Source organism: Homo sapiens, chromosome 11 (assembly GCF_000001405.40).
Source record: "Homo sapiens chromosome 11, GRCh38.p14 Primary Assembly".
NCBI lineage: Eukaryota > Metazoa > Chordata > Mammalia > Primates > Hominidae > Homo > Homo sapiens.
The window spans coordinates 94,658,154-94,680,585 of NC_000011.10; the positions used below are offsets into that span (position 1 = coordinate 94,658,154).

The 22,432-nt window shown below is 44.6% G+C and overlaps 1 long non-coding RNA gene across 3 annotated transcripts in view, besides 1 other annotated feature; it reads right to left on the reverse strand.

Annotated features, from left to right (window-relative positions):
• Positions 1–22,432, reverse strand: part of PIWIL4-AS1 (PIWIL4 antisense RNA 1) — a 195,024-nt gene that overhangs the window by 112,822 nt on the left and 59,770 nt on the right. For all 3 annotated transcript variants that reach the window (NR_135093.1, NR_135094.1, NR_135096.1), the window contains 2 exons: positions 21,233–21,383; positions 17,483–17,629 (listed from right to left, as the gene is read on the reverse strand). This is a non-coding gene — a long non-coding RNA (PIWIL4 antisense RNA 1). The remainder of the gene's footprint in view (positions 1–17,482; positions 17,630–21,232; positions 21,384–22,432) is intronic.
• Positions 13,656–14,155: an enhancer, noted in NCBI's record as "H3K4me1 hESC enhancer chr11:94404975-94405474 (GRCh37/hg19 assembly coordinates)". NCBI's record gives its function as "activates a minimal SCP1, AML or CMV promoter by ChIP-STARR-seq in primed H9 embryonic stem cells {active_cell/tissue: H9 hESC(primed)}" and the evidence as "EXISTENCE:reporter gene assay evidence [ECO:0000049][PMID:30033119]".

The following is a 22,432-nucleotide window of genomic DNA, read 5'->3' on the forward strand; positions in this document are numbered from 1 at the left end:
GTTATGTTCAGCTCCTCGGTCTCTCGCTCTGGTTAGCGCCAAACCTTGGCTCAATAAGGCCAGCTACTAATCACATACTTGAAAATTTACAAATATCCTGTTTTTAATGATGTTAACTTTGCTGTATTTGTTGTCAACTACATCTTATTTTTCTAGGATCATTAGTAAGAACTTAAGGCAAATATCAAGATGAATTGGCTAGTCTTAGTATTAGCCAGAAGTTGGTCTTTATCTATAATCTTTTTCTGTATTTTCAGATACAGTATTCTGAGAAAGACAAAGAAAAAAACTTTGTCTTATTCCCTCCTAAAAAAAAAAAAACGTACCTGGAAATGCACTAATTGTGCAGCAGTTCCTCCTTGGCTCAGCCCCAGATCCCCAGAGAAGACTGTGTGCCTGTCTCTATTAATTGCTTATGTTGTATGGGTTCCCAGGCCATTCTCAGCCATGCGCATACACGTTTTGTGCCTTGCCAGGTATTGTGTCCTATTGTTCTTGGAAAAATACTTTGTGCCTTTATTGTCCCGCCCAGAGGCAGAAAAGACACAAGGACTGCTAGAAGTCAGTTTGGTGATTCTATTACTCCACGTAATTGTGGAAGGTTCTGGGAACTGGAAAAGTAATCAAGGTAGCACTTCCATAAGATATTCAAAGGAAACCAAATATTGAAATTCTTGGGAGAAAGGAGTCTTGAGAAGCTTGAAATCTCAGCAAGTTTAAGTGTGTGAGAAGTGGCTACTAACAACATTGCCAGCTTCTGAGAGGCCTCTGGGAGGAGACTGTAAACAGGCTGTGGGGGTCTCTGGAGAAGGTCGTACATTTTGCTAATTACAAGTGAACTAGAACATGCATGAGATTTGATAGGAAGAATGCTGGGGTGTGAATGAAGTGAGTTGACTTTCAATAGAAGGTCGAGAGACTCAAGTCATTTATTAGGCCAAGGACAGTGAATGTTTGCTCTCAGCAGCTGTGTGCTGAGGAAGAGGCAGCAGGAGCAGGTGGGGAGAAGCAGCTTTGCCTCTCAAGAACCAAAAGAAGGTGCCAGAAAGTAGGGCAGACCTCTGAGCCGGCACACAAACTCCAAAATGGCTGCTGTTTACATCACACAAGCTCATTTTAGGAGGAATTATCTCAAAATTATTATACTCTGAATCCCAAGGAGAGTCCTTTTGAGGGTCTTAGTTATACCAGAGGGAAAATCAAGGTCCCCCAAAAGGACACTTCTTGGGGTTCAGAGTATGGGCAAGGCTTAATTGGAAGATCTTTAATCTAGTACTCAGCTCATATGGCCTGTGCTCACCCAGGGATCCCCAGTGATAGGCAGAAGATGGGGGCTGGTAGGGGGGAGGTATCCATCGTGGCATCTACTACTCCAGATTGGAGTTGCTGAGTTTGGAGAAGTTGCAACCATTATTTAGAACTCTTGGAGATATCACTGGAATACTAATGAAGAAGGCAAAGGAAATCCCTTAGGATAATTTCAGGGTTGTCTGTGAAGAACATAAACAATATGATAGATAATAGAGTGATAACATTTGAACTGATAATTTTTTAAAGTATATAATAGAAGAATATTTGCATAATATCTCTGGAGATTGGAGAGAAATGAAATGTGTCAAACAGAAGGAACTGGATATGATGTCAGCAGCCTTTCGTCCCACTGTTCTCTCCTCTCTAGACTGTCTTCCATTTGGCTGTCCAAGCAATAGCACTAAAATATAAACCTGGCCATGCCACTTCCTACATAAAGCCATTCAGAGACTGTAGTCACTTCCATTCAGGAAAATATTCACCCGCTTAGCACAACCCATGGGACCTCACTGATGTGATCCCTGCCTTCTCCAGCTTCAATTCTGTGCTCATTACCCACTCCCCGACTCCCTCCCCTGACCCTGTGACCCTTGACTCTGGTCCTACTGAACTGTTTACCTATAAAGAACATGTTCTTTAAAGACTGTACATTTGTACACACTGTTCCCTTGACCTGGAATACTTTTTTTTAGTTTTATTTTTCTTTCTTAAGTCATCAAGACTAAATCTAAGGGTCTTCTGGGAAGACCTACTCAAGCAGAATTAATTACTACACCCCTCCTTTCCCTACCTGCTCCTTCATGCACTCACTATAACCAATGTAGTTGGCCCTTATTAGCATTTGCAGGTTTAAATTCCAAATATTATCAAGCAAATGGAACATCCATTACATATAAAAATTTGGTAATTTTGTAGGACTCCAGTTTGGATTACATCTGCTGGGAGGTAGGTTTCTAGGAAGTGGTCAATAGTTGTTGAGGGAACTTAGTCAACCATCCAGCATCTGCCTCTCAGTGTGATTTGTCCTCTGTGCTTGTGGTCATGTGGGCAGCAATCTCATGGAGGGATGAAACACTTGGTTTACCCCTACAATGTTACCTAATTAACGCTGCACAAATATCTTCTCATTTAACCCCCACAAAATTGCTATGAGTGCTTATTACAATTCCCATTTTTAGAGGTAAGGAAATTGACACTTAAGAGATGAAATTTTCCCACATTTATACAGCTAGCAAGTGAAGTTAGGACTCAAACACAGATTCTAACCTGACAGAATGAAATAGAGAATAAGAGAACTCAAGTAGCACTGGTGATTTCGGAAGTTGGTGAAAAGGGATAAAGACTATGAAGACATTTTTAAAATGTGATTACTCTTAGCTTTTAAATGGTTTTGAATAAATTAAACAGTGGGGAAAATTGTTAGAGAAGAATTTGCAAATTCAGGAATTCTTGATGGTCTCATGACAAATTTTCTGGACACAGATCTTTAGGCACAGCCCTAAATGTTGAAAACCTATTCTTCTATGGCCTCCCATCACTAAACTTGAAAAGCAATCCACAGACTCCACGTCTTTGGGCAGAGTGGATCCCATTTCTTTCTTTTGTGTTTCTGGGCCACCGTGGTTGCCTGGTTCTCCTCCCGCCTCACTGGAGTCTCTTTCTCGGTCCCCTTTGCTGGTTCTTCCTTATCTCTCCAGCCTCTACATGCCAGAGTACTTAGGGCCTCCCTTGGTCTACTCTCTGTCTCTATATTCTTCTTTGATGATGTCTTATCCCAGTCTCCAGGCTTAATTTTTCCCTATATGCTGACAATGTCCGTGAACTCCAAACAGCAATATCCATGTAGATGATCTAATAGACGTCTCAAATGTGAAATGTCTCCAACGTTCTATCTTCTCCTTCAAACCTCATTTTCAGCTTTGTACAGCTTAGTTGATGACAACTCTATCCTTCCAGTTGCTTAGACAAAAACCCTGGAGTCTTCCTTAACTCCTTTCTTTCCCTTATGCTTCACATCCAATCTTCCAGGAAATTCTGTTAGCTCTAACTTCAACATCTCTGTAGAATATAGCCACTTTTCACCATTGCTACCCTAGATCAAATAAACCTCATGTCTCTCCTGGACTATACAAGCACATCCTAATTCATTTTCTTTTTTTCAACACTTGCCACAAACCCACAAACCCACAAACCCTACTGTCTATTCTCAAAACAGCAGTCAAAGTGGTGCTTTCAAAACATAGATCATGTCACTTCTTTGTTCAAAAACCTCTTAAGACCTCCATTGTTAAAAATCGCCATATTTCTCAGAGTAGAAGCCAAAGTCCTTACATCAACTTATAAGGTCCTATGTGATTTTTGCACCCCACATCCTTGCCTACTGATATATCATATATTATTTATTTAGTAGGCTTATCGTCTCTCTTCTCTTCTAAAGACAGCAAGGATTTTGCTCTGTTTTATTTACTGTGTGTCTCCCACCTAGGAGACATTGGATACTCAAAAAGTATTTGTCTAACATTACAGCAGGATGTCGTGAAGTCTGGTCCTTAAAGCATGTATATGATTCTGGACTTCTATCATATGTGTTATGAATACCTTCACTGAAGTGAGTAAGGTGCAAGAAAATGTGAGAAATAATTTAAGAACAGCATCATTGTCACAGGCTCTTTTGTGATACTGGTTTCCCAAATGGAAAGCTCATTCTTAATGAAATTTTTTTTCAAATGTGACATCTTTCCAAATTAGTCAGAGAAAACAAACTGACCTCATGCCAATTTTACTTTCGAATGTCAATAGAAAATCACCAGTCTGCTGCTTTAAATAGTGGGAGGAGTCAGTAATTGCCTGGGGACCCGAGGGAACAGCATTAGGTGGTGGTGACAACAGATATTGTCTGTCACCAAGACTATTGATGGAAGACTAAATTCATCAAGATCTGAGTAAAAATTTCTAAGCCCTTTTCTCTTTTCTTAAAAATAACCCAATTTTTCTTTATAGTGCTTTAGAGTTGGCCACAAGCAGAGGTAAGTTTTGTTTTACACAGTAAATATCTTCCCCAAAAAGCTGCAGATCAACATTCCCTAAATTCATGAATGTAGAATGCATGAGGAGAGCTTACTCTTCAAAGGACCCTGAGAGGGGGTTTGGGGGGCAAAGAGAGCTCCTGCTGTGTGCTGGGCTGTGCAGAGCCCCAGTTCTCCCATTTCTAAGGAGCCTCCTCACCCCTTCCGTAAAACGGGTTCATGGTATCTAACTCATAGGGTTATTGAGAAGATTATCTGGATATATATGAAAATGATGTATAAAGTATAAAGTGATGTCTAAATATTGGTCTATGACTAAGCAGAAAAACATTTTCATAAATCAAAGCACTCCTCTGTAATAATGGGAGTAAATATGTAAATATGGGAAATAATCCTCCTATAATTTTTCCACCTTGGAAGTCTGGATTTTTCACATACCAAGCTGGGTCAGATTTCTGTTATCATTGTTGCATTCTTGTTCTTTAATCACTCTTGCAAAAAACCACTTGTACCCCCAAAGCTATTGAAATAATTTTTAAGAGAACTTTTAAAAAGTAAATAAATAAAAATAATCACCCTATCAGCTATGAAAACTGAAAATGTGCCTAGTCAGTTCATCATCTTGCTTCATTGGTCAATTCAAAGATCAGGTATTTCAGGTCAACAATTCCTTTGATGATTTTCTGAACTGCCCAAGGCCTTCACCAAATTGCTTAAGTAGGCCAGAGTTATGAATTGAGGTATGCCCTCCAAAAAGATATGTTGAGACCTAACCCTCAGTACCTGTAAGCGTGACCATATTGGAAATAAGATCTTTGCAGATGTAATTAAGTTAAGATGAGGTCATTAGGGTGGGTCCTAATCAAATATGACTGGCGTCCTTATAAGAAGAGAAGAGACACAAACTCCGATATACACAGAAGGAAGACAATGTGAAGACACATGGGGGAAACACCATGTGGTGACAGAGGCAGAGATGGGAGTGAAGTGTCCACAAGCCAAGGGATGCCAAGCCTCGCTGGCTACACTGGAAGCTAAGAGAAAGCACGGAACTGATCCTCTGCTAGAGCCATTCTAGAGAGCACAGCCTTGCTTTTAGATTTGCTTTTAGACCTTGATTCTAGACTTCTGCCTCCAGAAGCAAGAGAGAACAAATTCTGTGTTTAACCACTCAGTTTGTGGGACTTTGTTACAGCAGCCCTAGTAAACTAACATAACCAGTTAGCTATCCATGTGCACATTTGAGGCAGGCCTGGTTACTGTGATGGAGACTATGGCTTATGTCTCTACATTTGATCAATGAACTGCCGAGTCCCTGGTCCTGGTGGAAGACCTATGTAACCTTGAAGTGAGCAGTTTGGGGTGAATGTTCCTGAGTGAGCAGGTTTCCATCTTCTTTTCATATAATAACTGACTAGCAGTTAACTTCCATATAGAAACAAGATTTCTGTCTTGCTCTTCTAATCCTTTTGTCATTGTTGTTTTCTTCTACCACTCTCACATTAATTGTAAATGGCTTAAAGAAATCAATTTACTTTTGGTTTATTTTATAATAAATAATTTAAATAATTTAGCATTATTTTATAATGATAAATTTGCATTAGTGAAAAAGTTAAAGATGTTTATCTCAACCTCAAAACATGCTGTCAGAGGAACAGTCAGAAAGCAACTTAGCAAACTTCTAGTCCAGTGGTCCACAATTCTGGCTGTACGTTATAACCACATGGAGCCCTTTAAAAATACCAACACCTAGATCCCACCCCTAGTGCTTCTGATTTGATTGATACAAGGTGGGGCTTGGGCTTTGGTGTTTTTTTTTTTTAAATGCCCCAGATCATTGTAACTTGTAATCAGGATTGAGAACCAGAGAACTGGTCCAACCCTTTCATTTTACAGAAGAGAATGTTGAGGCCAAGAGAGGTTAATGACTTGTCCAGTTCAAACAGCCAAGCTCCCTGCCACTGCATGTGCCATGCTGACCCCACAGTAACCTGCCCCTCCTTCACTAGGATAACTCCTGGTCATGAGTCACAGCTTGGCTTAATTGTCCATGCCTCTGTGGGGCCTTTTCTAACCTACCAGCCCCTAGCCTTCCAGGCCAGGTGGCAGCCTTTCCTCTGTCCCTGTAGCTTTCACAATGACTCCCTTTATCACACAGATTGATTTTTCAGGCTTTCCTCCTCTAGACTGTGGACTCCTTTGGGGCAAGAAATAGCCATGTGGAGGGAAACTAATAGGAACTTGTTCCAAAGTGCAACAAAGGAGGATTCCAAATCACTTCCAGTTTCCTAATTCATAAGTAATTCATACTGTCAGATTCATCTCTGCCTGTTACTAGTGTCTCTTGCTTTTTTGCTTGCATTTATTTAATAATGCTTATTGAACTTCTGATTATAAAAGTAATTCACACTCATGGTGGGGAATTTGGAAAACATTCACAATTACACAAGTAAAATAAAATTCCCACAGAATCACCACCCGAGGGCCTGTTATTGATGTGCTTCCTCAATTGATCAAGCATTTATTGAGTACCTATCACATGCCACTTGGTGTCAGAACACTATGTTCAAGCCAGCCCTCAACCTCAGTGGCTTCACTCTCTTTATTTGTAACATAAGCTCCATGTTTGAAATTTTGTCCTCACAACAACCCCATATAGTAAGTATTATTTCCACACAAGCAAAAAGAAATTGCCTAGGTTTCTTAGCCTGGTTCCGGGATTAGCACGTAGGTCAGGCTGATGCAAAGCCTGTGCTTGCTCTATTAAGGCTGTTGAATTACCAGGCTCTAAAGGCTTGGTCAGTTCAACAGGTCAGATTCTGAGCTCTGATAGTAACCATAAAAACACATGGTTAAGAAACAGTGAGCAGTGCTGTCATGGACAGCTGCACAGGTTGTGCATTGTCAACCCTGAGAGGCATCACTCACATTAAAGTCTACATGAACAGCTTCGCAGGAGCTGTGTAGTGCCATGGACTCAGGGATGAGGGTCTGCACTGAGCTGAGGACTGTGTCTCTGGGCTGAGCCTGGAACACCTGCAGGTTATGGAGCAACATGGAGGGTTAAATTGCCTCAGGTAAGCTGTCAAACCACACTGTGCACTGAGCCACGGAACTGAAATGCCACATGCACACAGGCCTTCTGAAAAGCTCTCTGAAATGCCAGGAGAGAAACAGAACAAGAGGGAGAGAGATGAAGGGTAAGCACTTCAAGGCCATTTACCTGTCTCTTGGAAAAGCACTTTCTTTGAGAGGAATTGCTAGTGCAGGATGAGGAAGACTCTGCTGGTGGTGGGGAGGAGTAGTGGAGGATTGCTCCTTGGGCCGGCCAGCCTGCAGCAATGGCTTCAAGGCCAAGTTGAAAACTGCTTGGGAAACATCCACGCTAGTTCCTGGGCATCCTGGGGGAAGTGAATAAAGCCAAAACAGCTTTCTTCCCAGCGGTGGGGCGGGGTGACCATATCCCCATAGAACTTTGGAGCAAGGAACAAAGAGCTCTTCTCATAACTCAGAAAAATCATCAGGAGAGAATTGTGAGGACGTAAAATGAGAAAACAACAAAATAAACTTGTAGGAGACACAGGATGCTGTTTTAATAATCAACATTGTCACCTTAACAAACCCTAGCATTTCTGTGGCATTTGCAAAGCATTTTCATACACATTTGATCTTCCCAACGACTCTGTGAGATTGTTACTACCGCCACTTTACTGATGAGGAAACTCAGGGTCAGCAGGACCTGCGATATGGCCCATACCTATCAAGTGTGGCAGCCAGGGCTCCTGATAACGCATCTGAGCTCCCTTTGTAGGAGGAAAGTTTCAAAACTCACAGTGGGAAGATGTCCTAGGGCAGTCTTGGAAAGAATGGTTGGGAAGAAGGCCTGGAAAAGGACTGGTGACTCTTAGCTGGCTGCTCCATCTTTAATCTTGCAGGGAATGGCCTCTTGAACTTTCAAGATCTGACATCTGCCCGCCCTCCAGAGTCATTACCATCTGTTACCTCTTATTTTTGACACTCTGGACTCCTCCAACCTTAGCCATTATGAGCTGCTACTACTCTGCTTTCCTGAAAGATTATCCTTCCAGGTGTTTCCCCTGGTTATTTCCTATTCAGCAGTTGCCTCCTCCAGGGAGCCTGTCATAATCCCCATAATCTGGGTACCCCTTCTCTAAGTTCCCATAGCTTCCTTTTGCATACTTCCCTCAAAGCAATCATCAATTGGCTATTTGCTTAGCTGTCTTGGTAATCTTGTCAGTGCCACCTCCAACATAGATTTACAATTAAATCATTCCACTTCTACTAGTAAAACTCTAGGCTGAGCCATCATCATCTCTCACCTGACAACAGCCTCACCTCAGCTCTTACTTCCTTTAGTCCGTCCTCCACATGGCTGTCAGAAAGAGCTCTCTGGGTCTAAACGAGAGCATATCACTCTGCTGCTTCAAACCCTCCATTGCAGGCAGGAAAACTACAATTGGTGCACTGAATCTGGCCTGCCACGTGTTTTCATAAATAAAGTTTTATTGCAACACAGCCATGCTCATTTGTTTAAGTATGGTCTGTGGCTGCTTTTGACTATAATGGCAAATTGAGTCATTGCCACAGAGACCATTTGACCTGCAGAACCCAAAATATACCTAGCCCTTTACAGAAAAATTTGCTGACTCTTATTCTATTGGCTTGCCATCTGTTTTGGTGATCCACTGTTATGTAACAAACCAACCCAAAGCGCTCTCCCTTTTTACTTCTTCCTACCTATCTCTCAATCTTGATTGATTCTGAGGCTGTCCTGAGGATGTGGGTGCTATAGATTGAATGTTTATATCCCTCCAAAATGTATATGTTGAAATTCTAACCCCTCCGAGTGATGGTATTAGGGGGTGGAGCTTTTGGGAGGTGATACCCCATGAACAGGATAAATATCCAGGAGGCCCCAGAGGGCATCCTTCCCCTTCTACAGTGTTGGGACACAGCCAGAAGGCAGCCGTCTATGAACCAGGAAGCAGGCCCTCTCCAGACACTAAATCAGCCAGTGCCTTGATCTTAGACTTCCTGACCCCAGAACTGAAAAAAACAAAATTCTGTTGTTTACAAAGCACCCAGTCTATGGTATTCTGTTATAGCAGCTTGTGCAGACTAGGTCAGTGGACCTAACTGAGAGCCTGCCTATGGTGTTGGGTGGGCCACAGGGTTTTGATGGTACTCTGTGGTTGGGGTCTCCACACGCTTCAGATACCTCTGTTAGTCCTAAGACCTCCCCAAGTGTTTGGATTTGTCCCAAGATGAGCTTGGCATGTAGCGTGGGGGCCCTTACGACTTATAATGGGAGAGTTCCAGGTCCTAACAGTGAGTAGCTCTGCCCACCAATGTTTGTTGAGTGAAGAATGAACATGAGGGTCAATCCCAGCCTCACCCTGGTCAGAGATTCTCTATCCTGACCCCTGGTATGAGATCCCAGTCTTTTGGCTTCTCCCACTCGTGCTTGGCCCTTCCTTTCCTGCCCTTGCTGGATGTACCTGTCTGTCTCCTCTCTGTACTGCCCCTTGCACGGGGGAACAGTGAACTCTGCTACTGGAAACCTTGGAAAAGGACAGCATATACATATGTACATTGTAGAAGAAGAGAATAAAATGGGTCAGAATATCACCCCAGGCCCTTGCTCCAAAAGATGAACAGTTTCTTTCTCCTTCGAAAAATCTACTCAGTAAGGCATAAAGCAGAAGAAACCTGGCAATTCTATTTGAAATAGAATCCTCTTCCCAAATTACCATATTTCCAATTAGAACCACATCTTCCCCCTGGCCTCTGCCCCCTTGCTCTCTCTTCTGTGCAAAGCTGTAGTGGGGAAATGTGGATTCCACTGATTAAAAGGAGCCTGTGATGGGCCTGCCACCAGTGGGTTCTGAAGAGACACATCCAATTAAAACAGACAACATTTTCAAAGACCCTAGTCAGCATTTCATCTCCTCAGCACTTTCTCCAACATGTCAGTGTTACCTGTGGCAGTTCTTCTCGCCCCCCGGCCCCCAGCCCCCTGGCAACATGAAATTTAGGTCAGTAACTGCATAATCCACAAAAGCAACCCTGGTTGCCTCCTCTCCCTCCTCCCACCTTGGGAGTTGTATGTTTGGAAATACATAACTGGCCCAGTCATTTCCCCCCAGCAGACTTCAGGGTCTGGGGTGGGAACTCAAGCCTGGCAATGCTGGGAGGCTGATGGCACCTGTGATGAGACAGAGACTGAAACTGATGATGTGATTCAAGAATGAAATAAAGCCCAGCTCCCACCCAGGGGGCCAGCTGAGCTGTCTCATTGTAACATTAAACTCTATACTCTACCTTGCAAATCAACTGTGTGACCTGGGAGAGCCACTAACCCACTCAGGGCCCAGGTTTTCATCCATGAGATGGGGTGAGCTGGCTGAACCTCTAAGCCTCCCCTGCTGCTCTAGTGCCAATACTTCTCTGCTTTCACAGAGCCTTTTGGAGGCAAATACTCTTTCTCAGGGGTAATGGGGGTGCAGGTCACCCCACTAATCAGCTGAGTGTAAATCTGTGTCCACTCGTTTCTGGAGATGCCTTTGTGAGACCTGGGCAACCCCATTTCCCAGACAGAGAAATGCCACTTAGCCAAACTAGCAGAGGGAATTGGCTTCCTCCCTAAGCATCGCGCTTGCCATTGACACAGCACTGTTTTCTCAAACAGGAAAGTAAATTCTGTGCTGGGAAAAGTGAGAGACAGAGTAGGCAGGCTGGAGCCAGCCCAGGGGAAGAGGACGTAGAAAATGTCTCCTCATACTCCTCCTCCCTTAAGCAGGCCTCTCCTGTGCAGAATTCCTGGCATTTATCAGAGAAAAGCTTTTCACTCTACATTTTTCCACAGTAAAAAATAAGAGAGATAGACCTAGGAACAGCCACCCTAGTTTTGTCTAAAAGACCATCTGACCACAACTGCAGCCTGGAGAGGGCACACGGGGACACACTGGGTTAGGCTACGGCCATTCATCTTCATCAGTTGGGTCACACTTAGCTACAGGGACACAGAGCTGGAAGGGATCTTAGGTATTATCCAGTCCAACCTCCCCAGTCTCCAGGTGAGAAAATGGGCCCAGACAGGGAAGGTGACTTGCCCTGTTCACACAAGTTACTGGGAAGAAGGTGGACTAGGTATTCCTGACTGGCAACTAAGGTACTATCCATTATCTTACAGCCTTCATGCTATCCTTGTTTTCTTCTTCCCTGTTTGAGAATGAATGCAACTCAACAGGTATTTATGGAGCCCTCGCTTTGTTCCAGGCGCCATGTTGGGCATTGGGAATGGAGAAATGAATGACCCACACTATGACCTCAAGAAATTCACTGTGTCCTAGGGGAGATATTTATGTAGAGAAAGAAGTCTAGGTGAGCATGATAAACCCAGGCCAGATCCCTCACCTGAGCTCCTGAGCAACTGCCCCTTCCTCAGTAGTTGCACTGACTGCACTGAATTATGAGTTGATTCCACTCAACCCTGAGATCCTGGAAGACAAGGGCTGGCTTATTAATTTGTGCATCCACAATGCCCACAGCAGTGTTTAATACATGGATGGTGCTTAGTAAATATTTTTGAATAAATATGTAAATGTTTCACTTAAAACATAGTAACTAGGGAAGTTATTTAACATTCCTATGATTCAGTTTCTTTGTATATAAAATAAAAATAAGTATTTTATTTTCCAACTCTCGTGGACTAGCTTGAATTAAAATAACCATGTTGCTGAGAACTATAAAACTATGTGTGTGTGTATATATATATAATATGCACACACATATAATATACATGCCTTTAAAATAATATATACGTATTATTTGCATGTATATATGTTTTTAAATTAAATATACATACCTTTAAAATAATATATAGATAAATATTATTTTTAAGTGTATTGGCAGGAAGGCAGTGATGACCGGAATTGTCAAAATCCCAAAGAGAAAGAAAATGTTACCCCAACATTTGGAACCAGTTTTCCCCCTTGATATGGTTTGGCTCTGTCCCCACCCAAATCTCGTGTTGAATTGACATCCTCAATCTTGGGGAGGGGCCTGGTGGGAGATGATTGGATCATGGGGGTGGATTTCCCCCTTGCTCTTCTTGTGATTATGAGTGAGTTCTGATGAGATCTGGTTATTTTAAAGTGTGTAGCACTTCCCACTTCACTCTCTCTCTCCTGCTCTGCCATTGAAGACGTGCTTGCTTCCCCTTCACCTTTCAACATGATTGTAAGTTTCCTGAGGCCTCCCCAGAAGCAGAAGCCGGTACAGCCCACAGAACTGTGAGCCAGTTAAACATCTTTTTTAAAAATAAATTACCCAGTCTCAGGTAGTTCTTTATAGCAGTGCAAGAACAGACTGATACACCCCTCAAGGTATTTTCTGACTTCTAAGAGGCAGCCAAGAGACCCAAAAACTGGGCAGAAAATGGTGGCTAAAGAGCTGAGAAGCTAAGCAAAGCTTTCAGTGGTCATTTTTTGGAAGTTAAAAATTGGGATTAAGAGCCCACCAAGGTGGAGGGACACTGGTAAACACATGGAAGGTCAACACTCCAGGAGCAATGATGAATTGGAAACAGGCTGGACATCACAAAGACTAAAGCACAGATTCAAATCGGTTCAATTACGGAGTTGATTAACTGACTTGTCTCGATCTGGATTGCCTTCAGAAGCAGAAGTAAATCCTCTCTGGAAAAACATATCATCCAGAGCCTTGAAAGGCCTCCACCATTTTCATGCAAAATTACTGGCGTTCAACTTCAGATCATCAGATATACTAGAGATCAAGAAGAAAGGATGAAAACGAGAAAAATAGACAAGAGAAACAGACCAATAGAGGAGCCAGTTATTGGAATTATTAGACATAAATGTTAATATACAAAACAGGTATAACAATGATGGCTACTGATGGCAGTGGTGGCCCATCTGGAGTGGCTGCTGTGAAGATGCTGGCTGCAGCAGGGGAGGCACAGCAGGGGCTACATGCTCTATAGAGCCCACGGGAGCTAGGAACAGGTGGGAGCCCCGTTCCCCTTTGGAGTTGGCTGGGTGGGAGCCCCACCCTGCTGGGCGCAGCTGCAGCCACCCAGCCATGGCTGCAGACTGGGCATCTCTGTGCTCTCAGGGGCCTGGCAACCCCCCTCAACCCCCACAGGCTTGGAAGTGCCTGCTTCTGCTGCCTGGCCTCTTCCTGCTCCCAGTGCCTGCTCCGATTTCAGAGCAAAGTTGTGGCTGAGGCCAGTTGCTATTATGACTCAGCTGGGTGTGCACATGCTCAGGGCAGCACTGACATGCCAGTCCCCTGCTGCCTTGGCCCCCTCTAGACTTTGGGCACCAATGATCATGGAAGGGAGGCCAAAGGCAGGGCTGAGGGTAGCTCGGAGCAGGCCTGCAGGAACCCCTCAGCACAAACAGCCTGTGCGCTGTGGACAACATGTTGTTGGCAACAGGAGGCAGACAGGCTCCTGGGCAGAAAGGGGCATGCCACATGTGATGTCCCACCTTCAAGCAAGGGATGACCTGAAACATGAGGGCTGGGCTGCCAGTTCCTGGTGGAGTTCGTGGCTGGGAGTGAGAACTTATGATGCTTTATCTAGGCCCACTTATGGCTACCTATGGATATGTTAGCATGCACTTGCTCCCTTCAGAAGCCCACAAAAACCCCAGACTCAGCCAGACTCACAGAGATGTTGGGATGACCTGCCTGCAGATAGGAGCTAACCACTGCAGGTCTCTTTTCGGCTGAGAGCTGGACGCTAGTCAGGACGACCTGCAGAAAGGAGCTACCCACTGCATGTCTCCTGAGACCTGTTCTGTTACTCAGTGAAGCTTCTCTTTGCCTTGCTCACTCTCCAGTTGTATGTATACCTCATTCTTCCTGGATGTGGGACAAGAAATCAGGACCTGCCAAATGGCAGGACTGAAGGAGCTATAACACAAACGGGGCTGAAACACTCCCCCTGGCTGACCACATTGCAGGCAATGAAAAGGAGAGAAGAGTTGCAGCCCTTCACGGAGCTCAGAACTAGGGGCTCCCTGAGCCAGGGCTATGACACCCTCTTTGGGGCTCTGCAGTCCCTGGTGTCTCCAAGATTCCAGGCACCACTATGTTCCCTTCATTCAGAAATGGGTGCCCGCAGTGGAAGCTGCATGTGGTACATCTGGTCCAGCTGGAGTCTCACATGGAGCCAGCACCTGTGCCAGCATCTGGAGCTGCCTGCTCTGCCACAGCAGTCAGCACGCCTGGATGTGCACAGTGGCCAGACCCCACACTCACTTGCCCACGCACCCCTTGCCACTCTGCACCTGGCTTGCCCTTGGCAGGTGTGGGATCAGGGCTGAGAGCGTGAGCCAAGCACAGCCTGCCAGGCTGAGTGGGTGGAACGAACCCAGTTGGTGCAAGCAATACTCAGGCAGAAGGCGCCACCAGCCACAGAGGTTTCCAGCTGGCAAAGCGACACCCCAAGGATCCCGTGACACTATTAAATGTGTTAATATGTGTTTAATGCTAAGAATAATGCCTGGTGCATAGTAAATTGATATACTTGCTTGTTAAATATAAAAAATTATTTCGGAGTCATGTTCTGTTTGTGGAAAATATCAATCTCTTATTCAATGGACACTTATTGGGTCAGGTAGGTACTATGCTAGGTTCTATGAACAAAAATAAGGGGAGGGTCCTGACTTCAAGCTGCTCACAGTGGAATGAAGATAGCAAGGGAAGATCTTAAAGGGTTTTTCTAAAGAACAGAGAGAGAGTAATAATCAGAGGAGAAGTATATTGGGAAAATAGATATAGGTATACAGAATAGACAGGTAAATAATATGGCAGATACTGTGGCCAAAGATATGGCCAGCTGAAGTCTGATGTCTCATCAAAGCCTTTGGGCATTGGTTGGGATCATCTCCCATTCCCGGGGTAGCTAGGACAGTACCCCATTTTATATGGCAGAAAACAGAGGCCCAGAAAGGTTAACGGATTTTCCCTGGGCCAAAGGAGATTTGGCACTGAGGCCAGGATAGCCTTCTGACTGCCAGCCAGTGCTCTTTCTCTTTCCTCATTATGGCACTACTTCAGAATATGTGACTCCAGGCCAAGGTGAAGGAAGACACATATAGCAAGAATCTCTCCAGTAGTTTTCTTTAATCCTCCTTGGCAGTGTGAGTCTATATTGCTTTTTCTAAGACTTAGCTTTTAAAAGGCTGAAGATTCTGATTACTTTCCAGCTGAGGGTCTGCAGGTGTGAGAAACCCTGGCTGAGCCCCTGTCCAGGTAGGAACCCCTCCAGGACATTGATGGGCAGCATGGCTTCATTCCAGGAGGCCAGCTGTTAGAGCCATTGACCATCTGCAGCTCACTCAAGTTTTGTAGAATGTGCCCACTGTCAGAGGGCCATGGGAATCACAGGCACAGGCCCCTTGAGTTTTCCCCACTAGCTTGCTGCTTAGAGAAACGGCCAGATCATAACTGAAGATTTATGATTCTTTTGGTTGGAAGGCTCCCATCTCTCTCGGCCCATGTGACCTTCCCTGTAGTTGTCTCCATTTGCTTTTGGCTTCTTTGCATGGAAAAAAAAAAGGCTGTGCTCAGGAAGCTGTACTCCAAGGGAATAGATAGGACAGCTCAGAACAGCATCATGGCCCCACCTACCAGGATAAGAGCAGCATACCCCAGAATGGCATTCGTGGAACGGTAAGCCTATTTTGAGTAGATGCCTGCTGTCTCTGTGAATGCATGAGACAGTCTCCTTGCATGGGACCAATGCCAAGTCCTTTCAGGTAGTGAAATATCAAGCACAGGCTGTGCTGGAGGAAGCTCCCCTGGGAGGGCAGGTGGAGGCGACTCCAGAGTGGGTGGCTAGAAAGGAAAAGTCATCCTGTCTCTATTTAAGACATGACAGCAATATGAGACGGAGGAACATGAGAAATACCATGGGAGGTCACATGCATGACACACTTATGCCCCACACTCTGACATTTGTTGCTAGGGCCATGCTGGCCATGAAGTCATTACTCAAGTCAGTCTCATTTTCTTCCTAAGCCATTGATGAAGGAGAAGAATAAAGGGCTGGGAGAGCACTCCTGGCTTTAAATCTCAGCCTCCCTGCTCACCAGTGGGGTGATGTGAACCTTAACCTCTCTGAGTTTCAATATCCAACCTGTAAAGTGAGGATTATGATACCTGCCCTGACAACTTCAGAGGATTTTTTTTGAGGGGCAAAAGAGCTTGAACTTGTGTGAAAAGCACTTGGTTAACTATAAAGCAGTGATGTAGTCTCCAGATCTGCTGCCTGTTCACAAACAATGTTTCCAATTCACAGAAGGGCCTGGGCCAGAATGCAAATCAATAGTCACAAACATACTTTAGTTCAGGTGACAGTATTTTTATAGTAAGACTTTCTCATTTAAGGATGTAATGCTGGGGCAAATTCCTCATCTCATTGTGGATCTGGACTTTGAATAGCACTGCTGTAAACACAATACACATAGACATCTCTTGCCTTAAATTCCCTTATCCCAGGTCCCCTGCTCTCCCCTAACCCTGTCATCCTATCCAACTGTTGAACTCTTACTCATTTTTTAAGATACAGCTCAAGCATCTCCCAAGCAAGATCCCTGTAGCAGAACCAATTCCCTCCCCCTTGGGCCTCCACTGTGTGGCAATTATGAACGCAATATCTGTCCCCCAATTAGGCTGTAATGTTCTTGATGTCATCTATGTGTTCAGAGACTGGCACAGAGGAGCTTCTCAATGCGTACTTGTCTAGTGAATGAAAGTTAAATTATAGAAAGTGTTGTGTTCGCTCTGCCTATTTCTCAGGTGGGTGCCACCTGTTCAGGGAGCCTGAACAGCTGCCAGGTGTGGTGATTAAGATACAATCCTGCCTGAAGGCTGAGAAAGGAGCCAATAACCCTTTGAAATTTAAAGACTTTATGGAACTTGATTCATTCACCACACAATTATTAGTCACAAACACATGGCAGGCTTGCCATAAGGCACTGGGGATACAACTATGAATTAAATACAGTATCTGCTCTTCAGAAAATGCAATACCCAGCCTACCTGTGTAGGCATATGCTCATAGAAGGTGGAGTAAGGCCTGTTTCTGGTACCTGGAAGTCCAGCATCACGTGTCCACCCCTTGATGTTGGGTTAGGCAAGCTCTTTGTAGGCTGAGGCATTCATAATATGGAGTGGGTCAAAGTCTTGATTTCTGAAGAATCCCTCAGAGCCTCACTTGCAGGTGGGAAAAAGGATTGCTATTTAGATGACAGGAGAGAGAGGTTAGGATCAAGGAAGGGCAATCAAAAGACAGGGGTCCAGCAAGGGAGGGCTCAGCCTAGTTCTCAGGCCACAGTACCTTTCCCTCAATCTTCCTGGTTACCCCTTGTCCTATCTCTAGATGCAGCTCTTGCATTTGGTCCCTCCTTCCTTTGGACTGCCTCCATTTGTTTAGTTTACATCATTCTGGCACTTACTCAGCTCCTTTATAACTATTGGTTTGTAGGCCTGCTTCTCCTCCTTAGCTGTGCACTCCAGATGGCACAGACCATATTTCCTTCCTTTTATCTTTGGCCCCAAATGTGTATTTCTTGAATAAATGAATAATTATCTCCATTTATACAAATGAAGACCTAGGCTCAGAAATACTGTGCCCTCCTGACATTACAGGCTGGGTCAAGATGTGAGCTGGATCTTCTGACTCCTCTCTGGGGCTCTTTCCCTGAGGCCCAGCCACACCTGCAGGATGGCCCCATGACCATCATTGGAACACTACTACTCTACATCATCTTTCCTATCCTGAGAAGTAGAAACTGAGGCCTAAAAGCAGCTTATGGTCTAAAAGTTTGAAAATAATGGCAAAGTGAGGGCCTGAATTAAGTTTTCTAGTCTCTTAAGTCAGCAAATCTGGAAGTCATTCTTGACATCTCCTTCACAAATCATCTCCCATTCAAATTGTTGCAGAACCCAGCTAGGGTCCACTTGCCCAGTGCAGTAAGGCTAAACATCCATACAGAAGTTTGCAGCAGGAGAAAGGAAGGCATTTATTTTCAGGGCACCAAGCAAGGAGAACTGGGCAGCTCATGCTTAAGACTCATCCTCCCTGATGGCTTGCAAGTAAGGGCTTTTAAAGGTGGGGAGGAAGAGATTACAGGCAGTCATATATCAATACACAGAGGCTATCCATTGGTTTAACCTAAAAAGGTGGAACATCTCAAAGCAGGGGCTTATAGGTCATAGGTAGATTCAAAGATTTTCTAATTTGCAATTGGCTTAGGAGACAAAGCTTTGTCTAAAAATGTGAGGTCAGAAAAGAACGTTGGTTCTTGCTCAGGGGCATAGCCTTACCTCCAGGTCCCTCAGGAAGAAATTTAGAGCAAAGAACAGAGGTCAGAGTTCAGTTCTCAGCCCTCCCTTATCTGAGGCCTATGTGGCAGTGGGTCTATTTGATGGGGGCCTGGGGTTCTGCAAAACAGCTCACGGACATAAGTTGAGTCATCTTTAGTTTGTAGAGGGAACATCTCGTGACTCTAACTTCCTTGGCTCGTGTTTTAAGCTATTATTACCTTCTAGCTTATCAAGTTGCTCATTTACTTCTCAGGACTACCTGGGTACCTGGAATTTCCCCTGAATGAACCCAAGATTTTCCTTTATTTCCATGCTTAGAGCTGGGGACAGCAGGCCTTTAAGAGGAGTCCCTACTCTGTCTCAAAATTATTACTAAATCCAGTGGATTCTGCCTCTTTCATGTCTCTCATTTCTCTGTCTCCACTGTCACTGAATGAGGCCTTCAGCAGCCTCCTTCAGCCTTCTCCTGCCCCTTTTACCCCATCATTATCCTCCATAGTGCAGCTAGAGTGGCCTTTCTAAAAGGAAAACCCAGGCATGCCCTTTCTCTTTTTGTCTGACTTCTCACTTCTCCAGCCTTCTTTTCAGCATTCAACCCCTAACTTAGGGGGTTTCCCCAGACTGCCTCCCCCTTGCCAGCTCCAGCCTTTAAAACCCTCTCACCCTGCTCTGGAGTCCCCAGTGTCAGTCCCAAGGCCTTGAAACCACATTTTCCTCTGACCCGTCCCTTTGGGTTAATAAACTGGTTGCTCATCTGCCTGGCTTTGATTATTATCTCAGACTCACCCTGATGCCTCTGACAATCTCTGTGGGTTGGTCCAACAGCAGCCTCATCCCTACCTTATCCTTACCTCACTCTCTGAGCGACTCTAGCCCGAGTTATCAGTCTGGGTCTGATCATTTTAGCTCTCACTTGTCTGGAAGGGCTCCCAGAATGAAGGAATAAATGGCTCTCTCCACTTTCTCTCCTACTTCTTACTCAGGCCCCAGGATCCTCATCCTAGGCTGTGGTTCTTAGACAGTCCTCCTGAAGCTCCCTCACTCTATACCTATCCTCTCTGAAGTGACCCATTCTCCAAAGTAATATCACCCTTCCTTTCTCTATCCCCAGACCAAAACTTCCCTCTCCAACAGGGTGGCTGATACAGAGAAAGAGGGCAGGCATGGGCCTCAGGAGGCATGGGGTGTAGTCCCAGGTCCTGTCCCTTAGTTCCTGTATTCCTGTGTAGCTCCTGTCAGTGAAAGGTTTCTCCTCCTAGAACTGAGGTGAAGCTCAGCAAGACCATAAATGTGACAGCTCTTTGTATAAAAAGCTCATGGCTGAGAGCAAAGCTGAAACAGTGGGAGATGGATTTGCAAGCAAGGCTTTCCTCTATCGTGATGCCCTGGGCCTGCCAGTCTTCCTGAATTGAGGAACACCAATCCACTGCTTCATTTCTGTCTTTCCAACGGCTATGCCAAAACCAGGGCTGGTGTTGCAGCCCTCCTGTTAAGAACTACTGATAGAGAAAGTCCCAGCCACAAGGCTGTCCTAGGCTTACAACAAGGCACTTAGCGTTGTTTTATCTTATGTGATCTTGGCAACATTTTTATGAGTCAGGCAGGGAAGGTATTAATATCTCCATTCTATAGCCAAGGAAACCAAACTAAAAAATGTGGAAATACTTGTTTACAATCACAGAACTAAATTCAATGCCAGGTTTCTTAAACCTAAAGCTATATTGCTGCTCCTTGTAGACCAAAGTAATATAATTGACGAGGGGGCCTCACTCCTTCAGTTTTTCCTTTCCTTCCTGCCTTCTTTCCATTTAGTGGAATACTGGGAATAAAAAGAGACAGGCTCAGGGGCATGGGACTTAATCCAAGGTAATGAAAGCTAGCTTTAATAGAGATTCAGATCCCACAAAGAGCTTTGGGGCCCAGGGTAGGGAGCTGGGAGATAGGAACATGCATCTTTCAAAAGGACATATAAGCTCTATACAAACAAATGTGCATAAGGAGGAGAGCAATCATTACCTGGGAAGAATGTGCTTCAAGTTGCCCACTTCCATTAGGCTCTATTCTAACTCCATGTGAAAAGCTCCTAAGGGTGACAGCGACAGGGAGGTACCCATTTTCAGTCCCCTCCTTGGAGGCTGTATTGAAGAGTGGCCTTTCAGCATGGTACTGAAGGATGACTAACACCCCTCTTTTAGGCTAACTTGGAGGAATCTAGACCTGTCCCAATAGCTATGATTTAACATCCTTGGCCCTCTGTCATGCAGAAAAGAATGGGGTAGGCATGTGCAGACAGATTCAGGCAGCCCCCAGGTAGCTCTTAACATGAGCCCTAGGCACCAAAAGAAAGGAAAAGGCTCAGAATTTCTCCCTTTCCAATGAATCCCCCATAGTCTGGGCCTCTCAGCCCAGCTCCCTCCCAAACACTCAGCTCCCCACTCCTCTCTGAGAATCACCCCACCCACTGGCCCCCTGGGCTTGGAGCCCCATAGCCTGACTGAGTCAGCATGTCCTACCTTCATTCATGCTTGGTTCTGAAGGGGTCCAGTGATATCAGTAGTAACCCTGAGGCAGCCACTAGCCAGCTTCACTTCATAGCTTTATCTTCAGTTTCCTCTGCCGTAAAACAAGGGAAATGACTATACCTCCCCTGCTCTTCTCACGGGCCTGTTGTGAAGATTAAATGAGATAATTCAGGTGAAAGTGTTTTGCAAATTCTGAACTATAATTATGCTCACAATTATTAATATAGTAGTATGTCCACTGCCTTATTTGGGCCTTGAGAGCCAGGGAATGAATCCAGGTGGAGTCTGCAGACCATTTGCAGGAAGTAACCCACAAGGGTCACGGGGATGTGCTGATGAAAACGCACTGACTGACATTTTAGGGATAGAGAGTGAAGGGTGCTGCTTTACTCTCAGAGAGCTATGCAAGGTAGCATTTCCATGTCTTCTCTTTAGAGGAAGAAAGATGTAATGGAAGCTCCACTGTAATTAGTTCCCTGACCACTTCTGACAATAGCCAAACAGAAAATTCAAATCAGAACTCTCCCACCCTGGATGGTGCAGTTTGCTTTTCCAGAAACACCTGAAATCCCAGAAGGCACCAATTGTTTCTTCAATGCAAGTTTGGCTGCTCAGCAGAAGCACTAAACAGCTGGGAAGAGCCCGTGTTTCTCAGCCTCCCAGAATGGGGCCAGTAAGGAAGAGGAGGCTAAGAAAATGGCCATGCCCCTGGAGTTTCATTCACAGAGCTGGGCTGATCTTAACCGCTAGAACAGATTCTGTCCATACAGAATCTAGGGCTGTCAGTGTAAACGGACCTAGAAATATCCATTAGTTCCACAGCTTATGGGGCCATCTTTATGAGCCACACCAATTGGGTAGATTTAAGAACTGATTCAAAGGAGACTTAAGTTCAAATCCAAGCACTGTCTCCTAGAAAAGCCTAATAATAAGATTCCAGGATCTAAGGTAAGATACACTGAACTCAAATTCTAACTCACCCATTTGCAAGTTATGGTATTTAGTGTAGTTTTAGATAAGAAGCCAAGTGGTAAAAAGTAACAGTATTCACGTCTTTGTCGTGTTGTAAAGAATGAATGAGATAATAAATGCCTGACATGTAGAAAGTATTCAGTAAATTCTTGCGGTTCTGAATTGCTTCACCTAAGAAGCTTACACCTTGGAAGGTAGATAGACAAGGCAAAAGACTAT